Consider the following 13,515-nt stretch of genomic DNA (forward strand, 5'->3'; position numbering starts at 1 on the left):
GCACCCCTAGGCCCAAGGGTGGTCCAAGGGTGCTGTTTGGCATATGGTGAGGTTGAGGAGGTAGACTGAGCTTTTATGTGGCTATGCATGTTCATGGGCAACCCCTTAGAATGTGGGATGGAGCCATGGGGTGGAGAGAAAAAAGAATGGCCAGAGACTTTCATGGGCCTTTGATGGGCCCCACATATACCAGGAGTGTTCCTGGCTTTCTATCACATCACCCTGTTTTATTTCTTCCTAGTGATTTTCACTCTGAAATGTGTTACTCCTTTTCTTTTTTCCTGCCCTTCCTTCCCCCAGTAGAAATACACCCTCAGCAGGAGCGGAGGCCTTAGGTTGCACACCTGTTTCTGAATTATGGTCCCTCTGTCTCCTTGGCAAGGGGTGGGTAGTAGTCCATGAGAATGTCTGTTAGTCTGTTCTCCCACTGCTATAAAGAATACTACCTGAGACTGGGTAATTATAAAGGAAAGAGGTTCAATTGACTCACAGTTCCACAGGCTTAATTGGAAGCATGGCTAGGAGGCCTCAGGAAACTTAGAGTCATGGTGGAAGGTGAAGGGGAAGCAGGAATCTTCATCACAAGGTGGCAGGAGGGAGTGTGTTAAAGAACAAGGAAGACTGTCCTCTCTGCCCTGTGCCTTGGCCTCCTGCTGGCCTGCTTGCCACCCACTGCCCCTTCCAGCCTGGACTTTCCATTCCTCCACCAAGACCATTCCTCCAGTAATGACCCCTAACTTGCATGTGAAGAAACAGCATTCAAGTTAGCCCTCTGCACTGAATGGCCATTATTTACGCATTAAAAAAGTACATAATGTATTTTTACTCAGACTCAGATGAACAGAATGGACAAGAAGAGGGAAATGGTGCAGAAGATGATGAAACAGTGAGAAAAATGAAATCAGCTCATATTTATGGAATGCTATGTACAAGGGTTGTAGTTGCTTTTCAATCCCATGAATCAGGTAATATTAATATTCCCATTTTACAGATAAGGAAGCTGAGGCACAAGGGGTCCATGGAGCTAGTAGGTGGCAGAGCCAGGATTTGCACTCAAGAGAAGCAGGAGAGGCAAGGCCAGGGCACCCCTCCCTGTGGTGGGGTACAGAGAGGCCCTGGGGGAATTTTGCTAAATGAATGGAAGAAATGAGCTTTGTCCCTGCCCTTGAGGGAAAGGTGACATTTAATCAGACTGACAGGACCCTCCAGGATGAAGCACTGCAATGCAGGAGAGGCATGCAGTTGAGGGAGCCAGTCTGTACTGGGCCCAGGGTTCCCTGACCCCGCTGTGTCACTATGTCTGGTGTCAAGGGCTGGGATGGGTCTTTTGTCTCTGGTTTCCACATACCCCTAGCCCCGTAATGGTCTGCCTGGCTTGACGCAGAGTAGGTGCTCACTCAATACTCACTGCCCTGTGATGGGGCACGCACCCGCCATGGGGACAGGCTCTCCAGGGTGGGGCCAGCACAGGGATCCACTGAGATCTCAGTGCTGTCTGGCAGACTGTCCTCCCTGCCCTGTGCCCTGGCCTCTTGCTGGCCTGCTTGCCACCTACTGCCCCTTCCAGCCTGGACCTTCCATTCCTCCACCAAGATGTCCCAACAATGCATTCTCTCTTCTGGGCCAAGTCGGGGTTGGGGCATGTGAGGTGAGACTGAGAATCCAGCTGAGAAAATTGGCTGGATTTCTCGGTGATGGGCACATTCCTGCCTCTGAGCCTTTCTTGTCTCATGTGTCCTCTTCAAAACCTCATCTCAGGTGCCAGCTTTCAGATGGCTTCTCCAGCCCTACCCTGGTCATCCAGGAGCTGGAAGGAGAGGTGAGGGAAGGGGCCCAGTGGGAAAAAACGGAGCAAAGGAGGAGCTGCAGGTCCCTCCTCTCTTCCACACCCATGTCACCTAACTCATTCTATTGAGCCATTGTTTTTTGCTAGTTAGTTTTGTTTAATTGTGGTAAAATATACATAACATTTACCATTTTATACCATTTTAATTGTACAGTTCAGTAGGTTAAGTATACTCACATTGCTGTGAATCACATCTCCAGAATTTTTCCATCTCGCAAATCTGAAACTCTGTGCCCATTAAACAACTCATTTCCCTCTGCCCCCAGCCCCTGGCAACCCCTGTTCTACTTTCCATCTCCAGGAATTTACTGCTCTAGGTGTCTTGCTTTAATTGGAATCACATAGTGATTGTCTTTTTTTGTGACTGGCTTATTTCATTTAGCATAATGTCCTTAATACATCCATATCACAGCATGTATCAGAATTTCTTTTCTTTTCAAGGCTGAATAATATTCTATTGTACGGATAGACCACATTTTGCTTATCCACTCACCTGTCAATGGACACTTGGGTTGCTTCCACCTGCTGGTTATTGTGAATAATGCTGCTAGAATTTGGCTTCTTAGAGCATCAAGACTGCTATTCATTTAGAACCAGGTGATCTACATACTTTTGTAAGAGCATTATGGTCTCCATTTTACAATGGAAGAGAAAGGGCTCCAAAAGTTTATGTCCCTGCCCCAGATCCCACAGCCAGTAAGTGTCAGGGCCTGGCTTTGAATTTATATCTACACCAAACCCCACACACATTTAGCCCCTGCTTTCTACTCCCTCCTTCCCTGAGGGTGTTTGTTTTTATCTCTTATTCTGCTGGGAGCTGTACCGGGTGCATGTGCCCCTTCTGAGGCTAGGAACCAGAACTTGCATAGGATCGTACAGCATAGTGGCTAAGGATCAAAGACTCTGAATCCAGACTGCCCGAGTTCAAAGTTGGCTCCTTGAGTTTATCAGCTGTGTGACATTTGCCATAATGGATTAGTGATGTCTGCTATGGGCTCAGGCTAGGGGACATATGCCTCCTGTCTGCCTCTCTGGACAAAATGCAAAGCTCACTTGAAACCCTGCCCCACACTCAGGCTCCTTCCAGATTCTTGGTCTTGGAAGTAACAATGTTTCCTACAGAACTGCAAGAGCAGAGAGGCCACGTCTGAAGATTGGGTTTCTGGCATGACTTGCCCTGGGGGGATTTGGTTTTCGTAAGAGTGGGAGAAACTTCCCTGGCTCATAGTCTGTTTCCCAGGAGGCAGCAGGTTTGGGTCCCCTGCCCTGTTGGCCATCAGGCCCCAGGTGGAGATTAGAGTATATGAGGGCCTCCTTCCTCCACTGTTCTCCCACACCCTGTGTCTTCCTGTCCCTTGAGCTGTTGTTTATTGTCCAGAACCTGGCCACATTTTTTTTTTTTTTCTTTCTTTCTTTCTTTCTTTCTTTCTTTCTTTCTTTCTTTCTTTCTTCTTTCTTTCTTTTTCTTTCTCTCTCTTTCCTTTCTTTCTTTCTTTCTTTCTACCTTCCTTCCTTTTTCTTTCTTTTTTCTTTCTTTCTTTCCTTCCTTCCTTCCTTCTTCTTTTTTCTTCTTTCTTTCTTTCTCTCTCTCTCTCTTTCTTACAAGAGTCTCGCTCTGCTGTCCAAGCTGGAGTGCTGTGGCGTGATCTTGGTTCACTGCACCCTTGACTTCTCAGGCTTAGGTGATTCTCCCGCCTCAGCCTCCCAAGTAGCTGGGACCACAGGTGTGTGTCACCATGCCTGGCTAACTTTTTGTATTTTTTTGTAGAGACCGGATTTCGCCGTGTTGCCCATACTGGTCCTGAACTCCTGGCCTCAAGCAATCTGCCTGCCTCGGCCTCCCAAAATGCTGGGATTACAGGCATGAGCCTGGCCCTGGCCACATTTGGAATGTATTTACAAGGTTCCTACTGGCTCCTTCTTCCACAGGGTTTCTGAGGCCTGTAGTTCCCCCTGCTTTTCCTCCTGCCCCCCGCATCTTGTTAAAGCAAATCTTTATGCAAGATCCTGGGAGAGGTGGCATGGGCACTCTGCTTGCTCTTGCCCTGAACAAAACTTCTGCTGACCCCAGGGCATAGGAGTGGACAGGGGAGATGGGTTTGCTGGCTGCAGGGCAGTGGGGTTGGGTGTGGCATGGGGCAAGTGTGGGAAGATGACATCAGCACCACTCAGGGTGACAGGAAGAAAGCAGTGCGTGCCCCCGAGGGTGATGGTGTGGGTGTGGGCGGCAGACAGGTGACTACAGGGAATGTGGCTGGTGAAGGTGTGAGGAGGTGGGACTGGAGCAGGTGTGTGTGTGTGGCGGGAGCGATAGTGTGGGTGTCCTCATAAATGTCACCATGAGTGACTGACAGAGTAGGCGGGTGGTAATTCCAGTGGGTGACTATCTCGGCGACACTGCGATGGGTGGGGAGCCAGAGTGCGCGAGAGGATGCCTGTGGCAGGCGCCAAGACACCGCTGGGCTTGCCTCCTGGGGACGTCCTTCATGCCAGAAAGAAAGAACGAATGTGTTTTCTCTGCCTGTTGAAAATGATTCCGAGCGAAGGGCTGTGCTTCCTGGCTGGCGCGAGCCTGACTCTGCTGTGTCAGAAGATGATCTTTCACAGATGCTGAAAAGTTAGGAAGTGTAATTATGGGGAAATTGCGCTCAGGCAAACGAGTACAAGCCAAGGGCTGCCAGGCCCCATTCCTCACCTGAACGCCCTGATTGTGGCCGACAGCCCCACATCTGTATGTGCTTTGCAGCCAGAAGAGGAAAGAGAGGGGAAGCAGGAATGGGGCAGGGAGGGGAGGGATAGGGAGGGGACCTGGAGCCACCCCTGCCAACGGCTCCCCAGCTTCCTCGGGGAGGAGCTGAGGGAAGGCTGAGGCCTGGGGCACATTCCTGAGTTCCGAGGGCCTTCTGGGGCGCCCTCATTCTTGGGGGCGATGAGGAGGAAGAGCTGGGGAAGACCAGCAGAGCTGAGGCCACTTCTATTCTATCCTTTTCACGTTACTGGTGAGGAAACTGAGGCTGCAGATGGCCAAGGGGCACACAGTGAGTTAACAGTGCAGGCAGGATAAGATCCTCCACCTTCTGACCAGCAGGGGCTCTTGCCAGAACCCCTGAGGGGCAGGGTGGGAGGGACAAATAAGGGGCAGACCTGGTGAGCAGCAGGATGCCCCTGCCTCCCAGCCAGCATCTGGTACCAGCCTTTGGGGTAACTCTGACCACTGGGCAGCCTTGGCATTCCTTAAATTCCTGGCTTTCATCCTCCCACCAGGGCTCCTGCCCCATGGCCCCTCTCTGCTGGGACAACTGGGACTCCTCTCAGCAGAGGGACCTGCAGCTCCTCCTTTGCTCTGTTTTTTTCCCACTGGGCCCCTTCCCTCGCCTCTCCTTTCAGCTCCTGGGATAGCCCAGAGCCTGGAGCTGCCCCCTCTTGTTTAAACCCTCCTGGGCCAACTCAAGGGCACCCTGATGCCCTCTGCTCCCCGCAGGATGGGCACTCCCTCCCTCCCACTCCTTGGCCCTCTCCTGGTCTATGGAAACAATTCTTCCCATTGGGCACTAAGTTTGCTCCCCACCTCCATGCTTCTGGAAACAAGCCGCCCTGCCCCCGAGCCTCAGAGGAGGTACAGGCAGGCCCAGGCTGGATAATTATCCCAACGTCCTCCTGGCCCCAGAAATTGAGTCAGGGAAGGATGTGTGACTCCACAGGGCCAATCAGAATTCTTCCCTGAGAAGGACACTGGGAGCAGGAAGCTGGCTTCAGTCCCTCTGCAGCTGATAGATTGGGAAGCTGGAGGTTTGGAAATCCAGCCTTTTCTTTATCCTGTAAAGTAGCCCACCTGCAGGAGGTAAGAGTGACGCACACAGAGAGTTAGAGGTGGGAGCGGGGCATGAAGAAATGACTGATTGTTAGCATTTTTGAACTCTGGATTTAGTCCTGTCTTCATCCCCATACTTCCCAGTTGTATTAGCTAATTTCTATTTTATTCCATTATCTTATTCTATTCTATTCTATTCTATTCTATTCTATTCTATTCTATTCTATTCTATACTCAGTGCATTCAACTGGGTTTCCATCACTTGCAATCAAGAGACCTAATGAATGCAGCTGTCACAGAGCTGGAGCTTGGGTGTCCTGGGACATGTTGATGGGTAAGTTGGCAGGACCGAGGTAGGACCAGTGCCAGAGAAGATCATGATCCTCTCCTGGCTGGGTGGGGCTTGGTAAGTGGCAGTCTGGCATGGTAGAAATTTGCCAAGGAATAAATATGCACAAAAGAATTAAACAGTTATACCCCAACACAGAAGCCAATGGACAGCATTTAGCTCCAGCTGCAGCCATTGAAGGAATGCTTGTCCAGGGGTGAGAGAAGCACATGCAAGGGGAAAGGCTATCTGAGGGAAGGCAGGGTTCCAGGCAATACTCAACCTAGAGGACACACTTGGGGATGAGGCATAGGAGAGGAATTGGAGCAGGAGAAGCAGGGCAAAATGGGCCTGCAGTGTGGGCTCCACTGTCACCAAGAGCCACTGGGGGGGAAGCATCACTGAACAGCCTGGTGATGCCACTAGTAATTGACATTTAGTAGCCCAAAACTCAGTGGCCTATTTTATTTTATTCCAGGTCCAAGTCTCGTGTCCTTTTGATACACCTGGCTTTTCTGAGAACTTTTCTGCCTGGAATACTGGCTGGGAAAGGGCAGGGAAGCCCTTGCACAGCCAGCTGGAGCTGAGTGCCTAGAAGTGATATAAATGTTGGTGGTTTTGTCTAGTTTGGTGTCTTGCCTTAGCCACACCTGAAGTCATTCTTGTCACTCAATGACTTTGTTTCAGACACAGCCAATGAAGAGGGGAAAGGAGAGTATTTGCAAAGTACCTAGAATATGTCAGGCAAAGTTGCATACCTTTACTTCTTTTCATTTGCCTTACATCTGTGATCTCATTTAATCCTACAATGACCCCATAGGGGATATGTTATAATTCCCACTTCACAGATGAGAAAACTGAAGCTCAGAAAGATTAAGTAACTTGCTCAAGGTCTCCGAGCTAGAATGGGGCAGAGTGGGAACTCCAACCCAAATGTGTGTGTCTCTAAACTCTGACCTTTCTCCAGTGCCTTGCTTCCTCTGGAGAACTAAACCCTCCCTTGGAAGGACATGATGGAAACTCAACAGCCGACTTGACAGTCAGGAACTGCAGAGTCTCCTGTGAATGATTTATGATTACGTCAGCGATGAGACTCTGGGTAAGCCCTACTCCCTGCTCACTAGGGTGCAATGTCCTTGGCAGGTCCTGGCTCCACCTTTTAGCAAACATTGTTCTAGAGAGCTGGAACCCCTACCTGCCAAGAAATGGCCAACTTCAGCCTCTCAGTATCCAGGCTTTCCAGGGAAGTAGGTGCTGCCCCAGCACCCGTCCTCCGTCTGTGGTATCTCCCTCACATGGGCTGCTTCCAGCTTCCTCCTGCCTGGTTCTGGTTGGGCAGTGATGATGATGGCGCTGTGCTCTGCTCAGGCCTCCTCTGGAGTGCTCTCGGTGACTCCCTTCCCTGCACAGAAACATCAAGCTGTGCCTGGTGAGAGGCTTACCCTTCTACCCTCTTCTGTCTATAGAAATCCTATTCCTCTCCAAGGCATAGGACCAATCCCATCTCCCTCACAAAGCCCCTCCTTATGCCTTAACCAGTTGTCTTCAGGCAGATGTGATTTTTTTTTAAACCCCTTTCCCCAGAATTGCATCTTGTGATTGACTTGAAGGCTGGCTCCAATACTAGCTCCTATGAAAACATCCGCCCTCCAAGAAGACTTCATCTCTCTGCCGCCGAGCCTGCAATTTGCAGTTCCTAGAATGTGACTAGGATGAGCTGTGAAAGTGTCAGTTTTTTCTACCAGGGCACCAGGACTCAGGGCGCCTTGACTTTCCCTAAACAGTGACCTCCTGGGACTGAGATGACACTCAACCCGTGTTTTCCAGAATGATGGTTGACGCTTTGGCTGTGTCTCTTCTCCGAATTTATCTAACATGCCTGGGATTAGAGTCATGGAAGTCGTTCCAGGAATACGATCAAGCACAGGGCTCCTTGTACCCCTCACCCCAGGTACCAGAGACTTCCATGTCCTCTCCAGCATTGTTGCTGTTGAAACTCCTCTACCACCAAGCAGTTCAACCTTGGGTAAATAACCTCTCCTCTCTGAGCCTTAATTTCCTCCACAATAAGATGGATAAGTTGGCCAAAATCATCTCTAAAATCTCTCTTAGCCTAAAAATCCTCCCAGCAAGTTCTCACAAAAGCAAACCAATGAATAATGGTGAACAAATTCTCGAATAGTGGAAGCCAAAGCACCAAAACAGGCAATTAAAGCAGAAAGGATCGATCGGGTTGATGAGGATGTTGACAATGATGATAATATTTATCATGATCATTTATTGTGTTGCCACATTAGGCACTTTGTATACACTGTCTTGGATCCTCCCAATAAAACTTTAAGGGGAGAGTAAAACCCATTTTGTAGATGAGGAAACTGAGGTTCAGAGAGCTGATGTGATTTTTCTCATTGTCCTACCAGCAAGTGGTCAAGGCAGAACCTGGAGCTGGGCCCCCTGGGTTCCCTCTGGTACTCTTCTGGAACATTCCAGGCAGGCTCAAGTGGCTGGAGTAGGCCCCGCCTGCCTCCCCTCTGCCCTCTGCGGCTGTTTTGTATCCTGCCAGATTCCTGAAGTGTCAGGCCTCATTACAGCCCCGTGCCCCAGTGAGCATGGAGAGGCAGTTGACAGGTATACAATCTGACCGCGGCTCCCTTCAAATCATCAAGTTGTCTTCAGGCAGGAACGTGCCGGGAAGCTGGGCAGAGGCCCCTGGCTTGGCTGCATAATCTGATGCACATTAAAAACATCTTTCGGATGCCTTTTCTTGTTGCACGCTCATTCTCACTCTCTGTTTTGTTTTGATTTTTGTCCTCCATCCAACAAAAGCTGATGAAGTAGTCAGCTCTGTAGGCTCTCTGGTCCAAGCAGGGTCTCACCAACCAGACAGGTATCCAGGAACTACTGACCTTCTCCGTGTTTGGCTGCCATCTGGGTGACAGCGCCTGTGGCACAGGGCCACATCCTAGCAAGGTTGGACAAGAACCTGTACTCTGCCTCCCTCTCCAATTCCAGGGAGTGAGTTCAATTTTACCACGACTCTCAACGGAGAGCCTGGACTAATAATAATCATTGCTGGCATCAAGTGAATGCTTGATTTGGGGGCTGAACCCCTTTTTATGTTTGGGGAATTCTCCATCCCAGGATGAGAGTAGGCAGAGAAGAGCCAGCTTTCCACCAAGAAGTGGAGAAAGCCAGATCCTTGCTCTCCTGGGGCCCTTGCAACCAGGAAGTGGACATGTGACCAGAGCCAGCAAATCTGATGCTCCTGTCCAGAACTGGACCCAGGCCAGGAGCCATGGAGAGTTTCGCTCCATAGCTCCAAGTGTCCCAGAGTGGCCGGGCCACAAATGGTAGCAACAGGAGTTGGGTGCCCTGGGCTGCAGGTGGTAAACAGGAAGCCTCATCCGTGGGTTCCATAGCATGGCTTGGATTGTGGTTCTGGCCACCAGCTTCTCACTTGTTCTGGCTTTGTCTGACCCTAGATTTCCAGCCTTCCTGGAGACAATGAGCTGTTACCTTTCTGCTTAAAGCAGCCAAAGGCCCCTTTTATTGTTAATAACTAGGACCTCTGGCTAGAACCCCTGTGATTGCTTGTTTAATTCTCATATCAATCCTTCAGGTAACTATTAGCCTCGTCTTACAGACGAGCAAACTGAAGCATAGAGGGATTAAGTAATAGGAGGTCACACAGTAAAAAATGGCAGGGACATGGATTCAAACCCAAGTCTGTGGACCTCAGAACCTGGGCTCTCAACTACTTCAAGAAAGAGCTCTGGCCGGATGTGGTGGTTCATGCCTATAATCCCAGCTACTCAGAAGGCTGGGGCGGGAGGATCGCTTGAACCCAGAAGTTCCAGGCTGCAGCGAGCCGTGATGTAGCCACCACACTCCAGCCTGAGGGAAAGAGCAAGACCCTGTCTCAAAAAAAAAAAAAAAATCTTATAGTAGACTGGATAATCGCCCTCCAAAGATGCTCATGTTCTAATTCCTAGAACCTGTGAATATGTTACCTTATATGGCAAAGGGGAATTTGCAGATGTGATTAAGTTAAGAATGTTATGATAGGGGGATTGTCCTGGATTATCTGGGTGGATCCATTGTAATCACAAGGGTCCTTATAAAAGAGAAGGAAGATGTAAGGATAGAAGCAGAAGTCAGAGAGGAGAGGAGATGCTATACAGCTGTTTTGAGGGTAAAAGAAGGAGGCCCCCAGCTAAGGAATGCAGGTGGCCTCAGAAGCTGGCAGAGGCAAGGAAATGAGCATCCGGAACAAACCAGCCCCACCAACACCTTGACTTTAGTCCTTGAGACTGATTTTGGACCACTGACCTCTAGAACTGCCAGATAAGACATTTTTGTTGTTTTAAGCCACTACATCAGTAATAGGAAACTATACAGGGCCAGAAAAAACTTTCCACCTTTTGCAATTCTTATTGAAGGTAGGCTATCTAGAGAAGGGAACCTTGTGAGGAGCCCAGCGCAGTACCCCTAGGGCCTGGCACAGTGCCGGGCTCAGGGCTGCTATTCTCTGTATCTGTATTGAATGAAAGGATGAATGAGCACAGGATCCGTGATCCCCTGCCCTGGTTAGCCAGCCTTGGAAGATGAGGCCAGCAATGCAATCATACCCATGGCTTTGGCCCCAAGCCCAAGAGAAGATCCAGGAATCCCAGGTGAGTCACCCACATAGAGGTTTGGGCAGACCTAAGCCCAAAGCTGACCTTGTCACACCCATTACCCTTTCCCTCCAGACCCATGGCCTCTGTCGCTTACAACTCCCATGGTGAGGAAAGGCCAAGACAGAATCAGTGAGCCAAAGAGAGAGATCCAGAGCTGGAGTTTGTTCCTGACCAGAGGCCTCCTTTGAGCTGGGAGCTCTGCTTGGCTGCTGACCCTCTGCAGATCCTGCCACTGCCAACCCAGTGGCCAGCCACCTCCTGAATGTGGCAAACACCTCCCAAGACCAAGACATCAACCCCAGGAGTTTCCATTGAGTGGTCAGGCCCAGTTCTCCTCACTCCAACGGCACAGAGGTTGGAGGGCCAGGGCTCAGCCCCAGTCTAGATGGCCGTGCTGTGTTTCCTGTTTGAGTTTGCTTGCGGACTAATCCCTCACTCAAGCCCTCCAGGTAGGAGGCTAGGCCCTCGGGAGGTGGCCTTGATTTCATGATGATTTTTTTTTTTTTTCTGAGACAGAGTTTCGCTCTTGACACCCAGTCTGGAGTGCAATGGCACAATCTTTGCTCACTGCAACCTCCACCTCCTGGGTTCAATTAATTCTCCTGCCTCAGCCTCTCGAGTGGCTGGGATTACAGGCACCCACCACCATGCCCAGCTAATCTTTGTATTTTTAGTAGAGATGGGGTTTCACCATGTTGGCCAGGCTGGTCTCAAACTCTTGACCTCAGGTGATCCACCCACCTTGGCCTCCCAAAGTGCTGGGATTACAGGCTTGAGCCACTGTGCCCGGCCCAGATTTTACAATGTTTGCCTTTCTGTGGGACATGCCTAGAGGGAGCTTGCCTGAGAACAGCTAACATGATACACATCTCCCCCTATCCCATTGCCTTTGTCATATTTCTGGGGAAGTGGCATGTTCTTCAGGAAGGCTGGGCGCAGTATATGTGAACTCTGTATTATCTTTGCAACTTTTCTATAAATCCAAATTTATTCCAAATAAAAAGCTAATTTAAAAAAGAAAATAAGAACTACACTAGCTTAGGCATCACTCAAGTGGAAGCCACCACAGCAGGCTGGGGTAGCTGTCCCTGCCACTCACACTGGTGGTGCCTGTTCTTTTCCTTGCTGTGATTTAGACCATCCCAAGCTGCGATGATCTTTCCCACTAGACCAGAAGTTCCTGAGGGCAGGGGCTGTGTCTTGTCACATTCTCTGCACCTGTTACAGAGCATTTACCAGTCACCCTTCTAAACACTTCACACTCCTTTCATCCTTGCAGCACCCCTGGGAAGAAGTTGCTATTGCTGTCCCCATGTCACAGAAGAGCAAACATAGGCCAAGAGAGGTCACAAAGCTGGCAAGTGACAGGATTAGGACCAGGAGGATGGGCTTAGCAGTCTGGCTGCATGTCCTAAACCCTCCGCCACGGCAAGCCATACAGCTGGGGGCTGAGCAGACTTGGCATGGGGTAAGCATCCCAGCTCTGCCCCTCATCAGCAAGGTGACCCTGGACAAGTTCCTCAGCCGCTGTGAGCTCAGTTCCTTCATCTGTGAAATGGAGAGAACAGTAACTACTTCACATGGAGTAGATGAGATGCAACATGTAACCTGCTTAACACAGAGTGCGACATGTCCTAACCATGAGAAGATAGTCAACGGTGGCCATGAAGATGACACGCAAGTATGATGATGATGATGATGATGATGATGATGGTGATGATGATGTAATGCTTGCTGAGTGAGTGGGCAGTGCAGGAGAAAAAGGAGCTGTTAGCAGTTTCTGGAGAAGTCCAGGCGTGATAAACTGAGGGTTGGTGGAAGAGCAGAGGGCAGCAGCAGGTAGAAGACCATGTCTGGAGGAGGCCAGAGAGAAGAGAGGGAGGAGCCCACTGGCATGCCAACATGGCCAGTGGAAAGTGGTGATGAGAAAACAGCCCTGCCCCCAGGTCCGAGGCAGGCTCTTCAGACTCAGAGAAAGCACAAGTTTCCACCACCTCCTGTACTGCTCCAAACTTTGGAAAAATCAGCAAATGAGGAAAGGTCCTGGGCAGCCCTACTTCTCCCAGGATAGAAAGGGCTTGGTCTGTTGTTTGTTCCGCAGTTAGAAGTAGGCTCTTGTCCCTGCCCAAGCAGAACACTTTTGTTTGGCAGGAGAAAGAGGAGCTGGGCAATGCCAGAGAGGAGCCCCCCAGCGCCACATGCTCTGCATTCCCCAGCATGCCTACCAGAGCCCAGGTGGGCGTGGAGGCTGTAGGAGCCCTCACCACCCACCAAGCGGGGCTCCAGAGGCCTGGCACCGTCTAGAGAGGTGGCGGCTGTCAGCACTGAGCAGAAAGGCATTCCGAGGCACAAGAATAGCCCGACCACAAGACAGGAAGGCGGTCTCTGAAAACATTGTTCTCCCTGGAGCAGAAAAGACCACATGTTGGGAGGCCCTGGGGTTTCCTGGAACTGCTGGGAACAGAGGTGCTTTTCCAGGTAGACTGATTTCCCCTGTGGAGTCTCAAAGCCCTGTACCCAGAGTGGGCACCCTCATGAAGGGGGTGACACCCTGTGCCTGTTCATTTTATGTTAAAGACACTCTCCCACCTGTGGGTGGTGGCAAGGAAGTGCCATTCATGTGACCACCTGTCAGAAGATGGTCCATGCTTTTATTGTTTGTGTGAGACCCTAGGCCACAAGAAAGTGTTGACAGAACCTAGATCCCATTGTGAGTCACAGAAAACACATGGAGACCTCAGACTCACCCCTGGTCACACAACTTTGTGCATTCAGTTGATTGCTTATTAGATGTCAATCAAGTGTCTTTGTGTAAGGTCTCATTCTAGGAATACGGGTGGGATGGCAAACA

At 50.2% G+C, this 13,515-nt stretch overlaps 1 annotated feature.

Moving 5' to 3' along the window:
* Positions 3,894-4,890: an enhancer, noted in NCBI's record as "H3K27ac-H3K4me1 hESC enhancer chr11:44487974-44488970 (GRCh37/hg19 assembly coordinates)". NCBI's record gives its function as "activates a minimal SCP1, AML or CMV promoter by ChIP-STARR-seq in naive H9 embryonic stem cells {active_cell/tissue: H9 hESC(naive)}" and the evidence as "EXISTENCE:reporter gene assay evidence [ECO:0000049][PMID:30033119]".

The sequence above is a fragment of the Homo sapiens genome, chromosome 11, assembly GCF_000001405.40.
Source record: "Homo sapiens chromosome 11, GRCh38.p14 Primary Assembly".
Taxonomy (NCBI): Eukaryota; Metazoa; Chordata; class Mammalia; order Primates; family Hominidae; genus Homo; species Homo sapiens.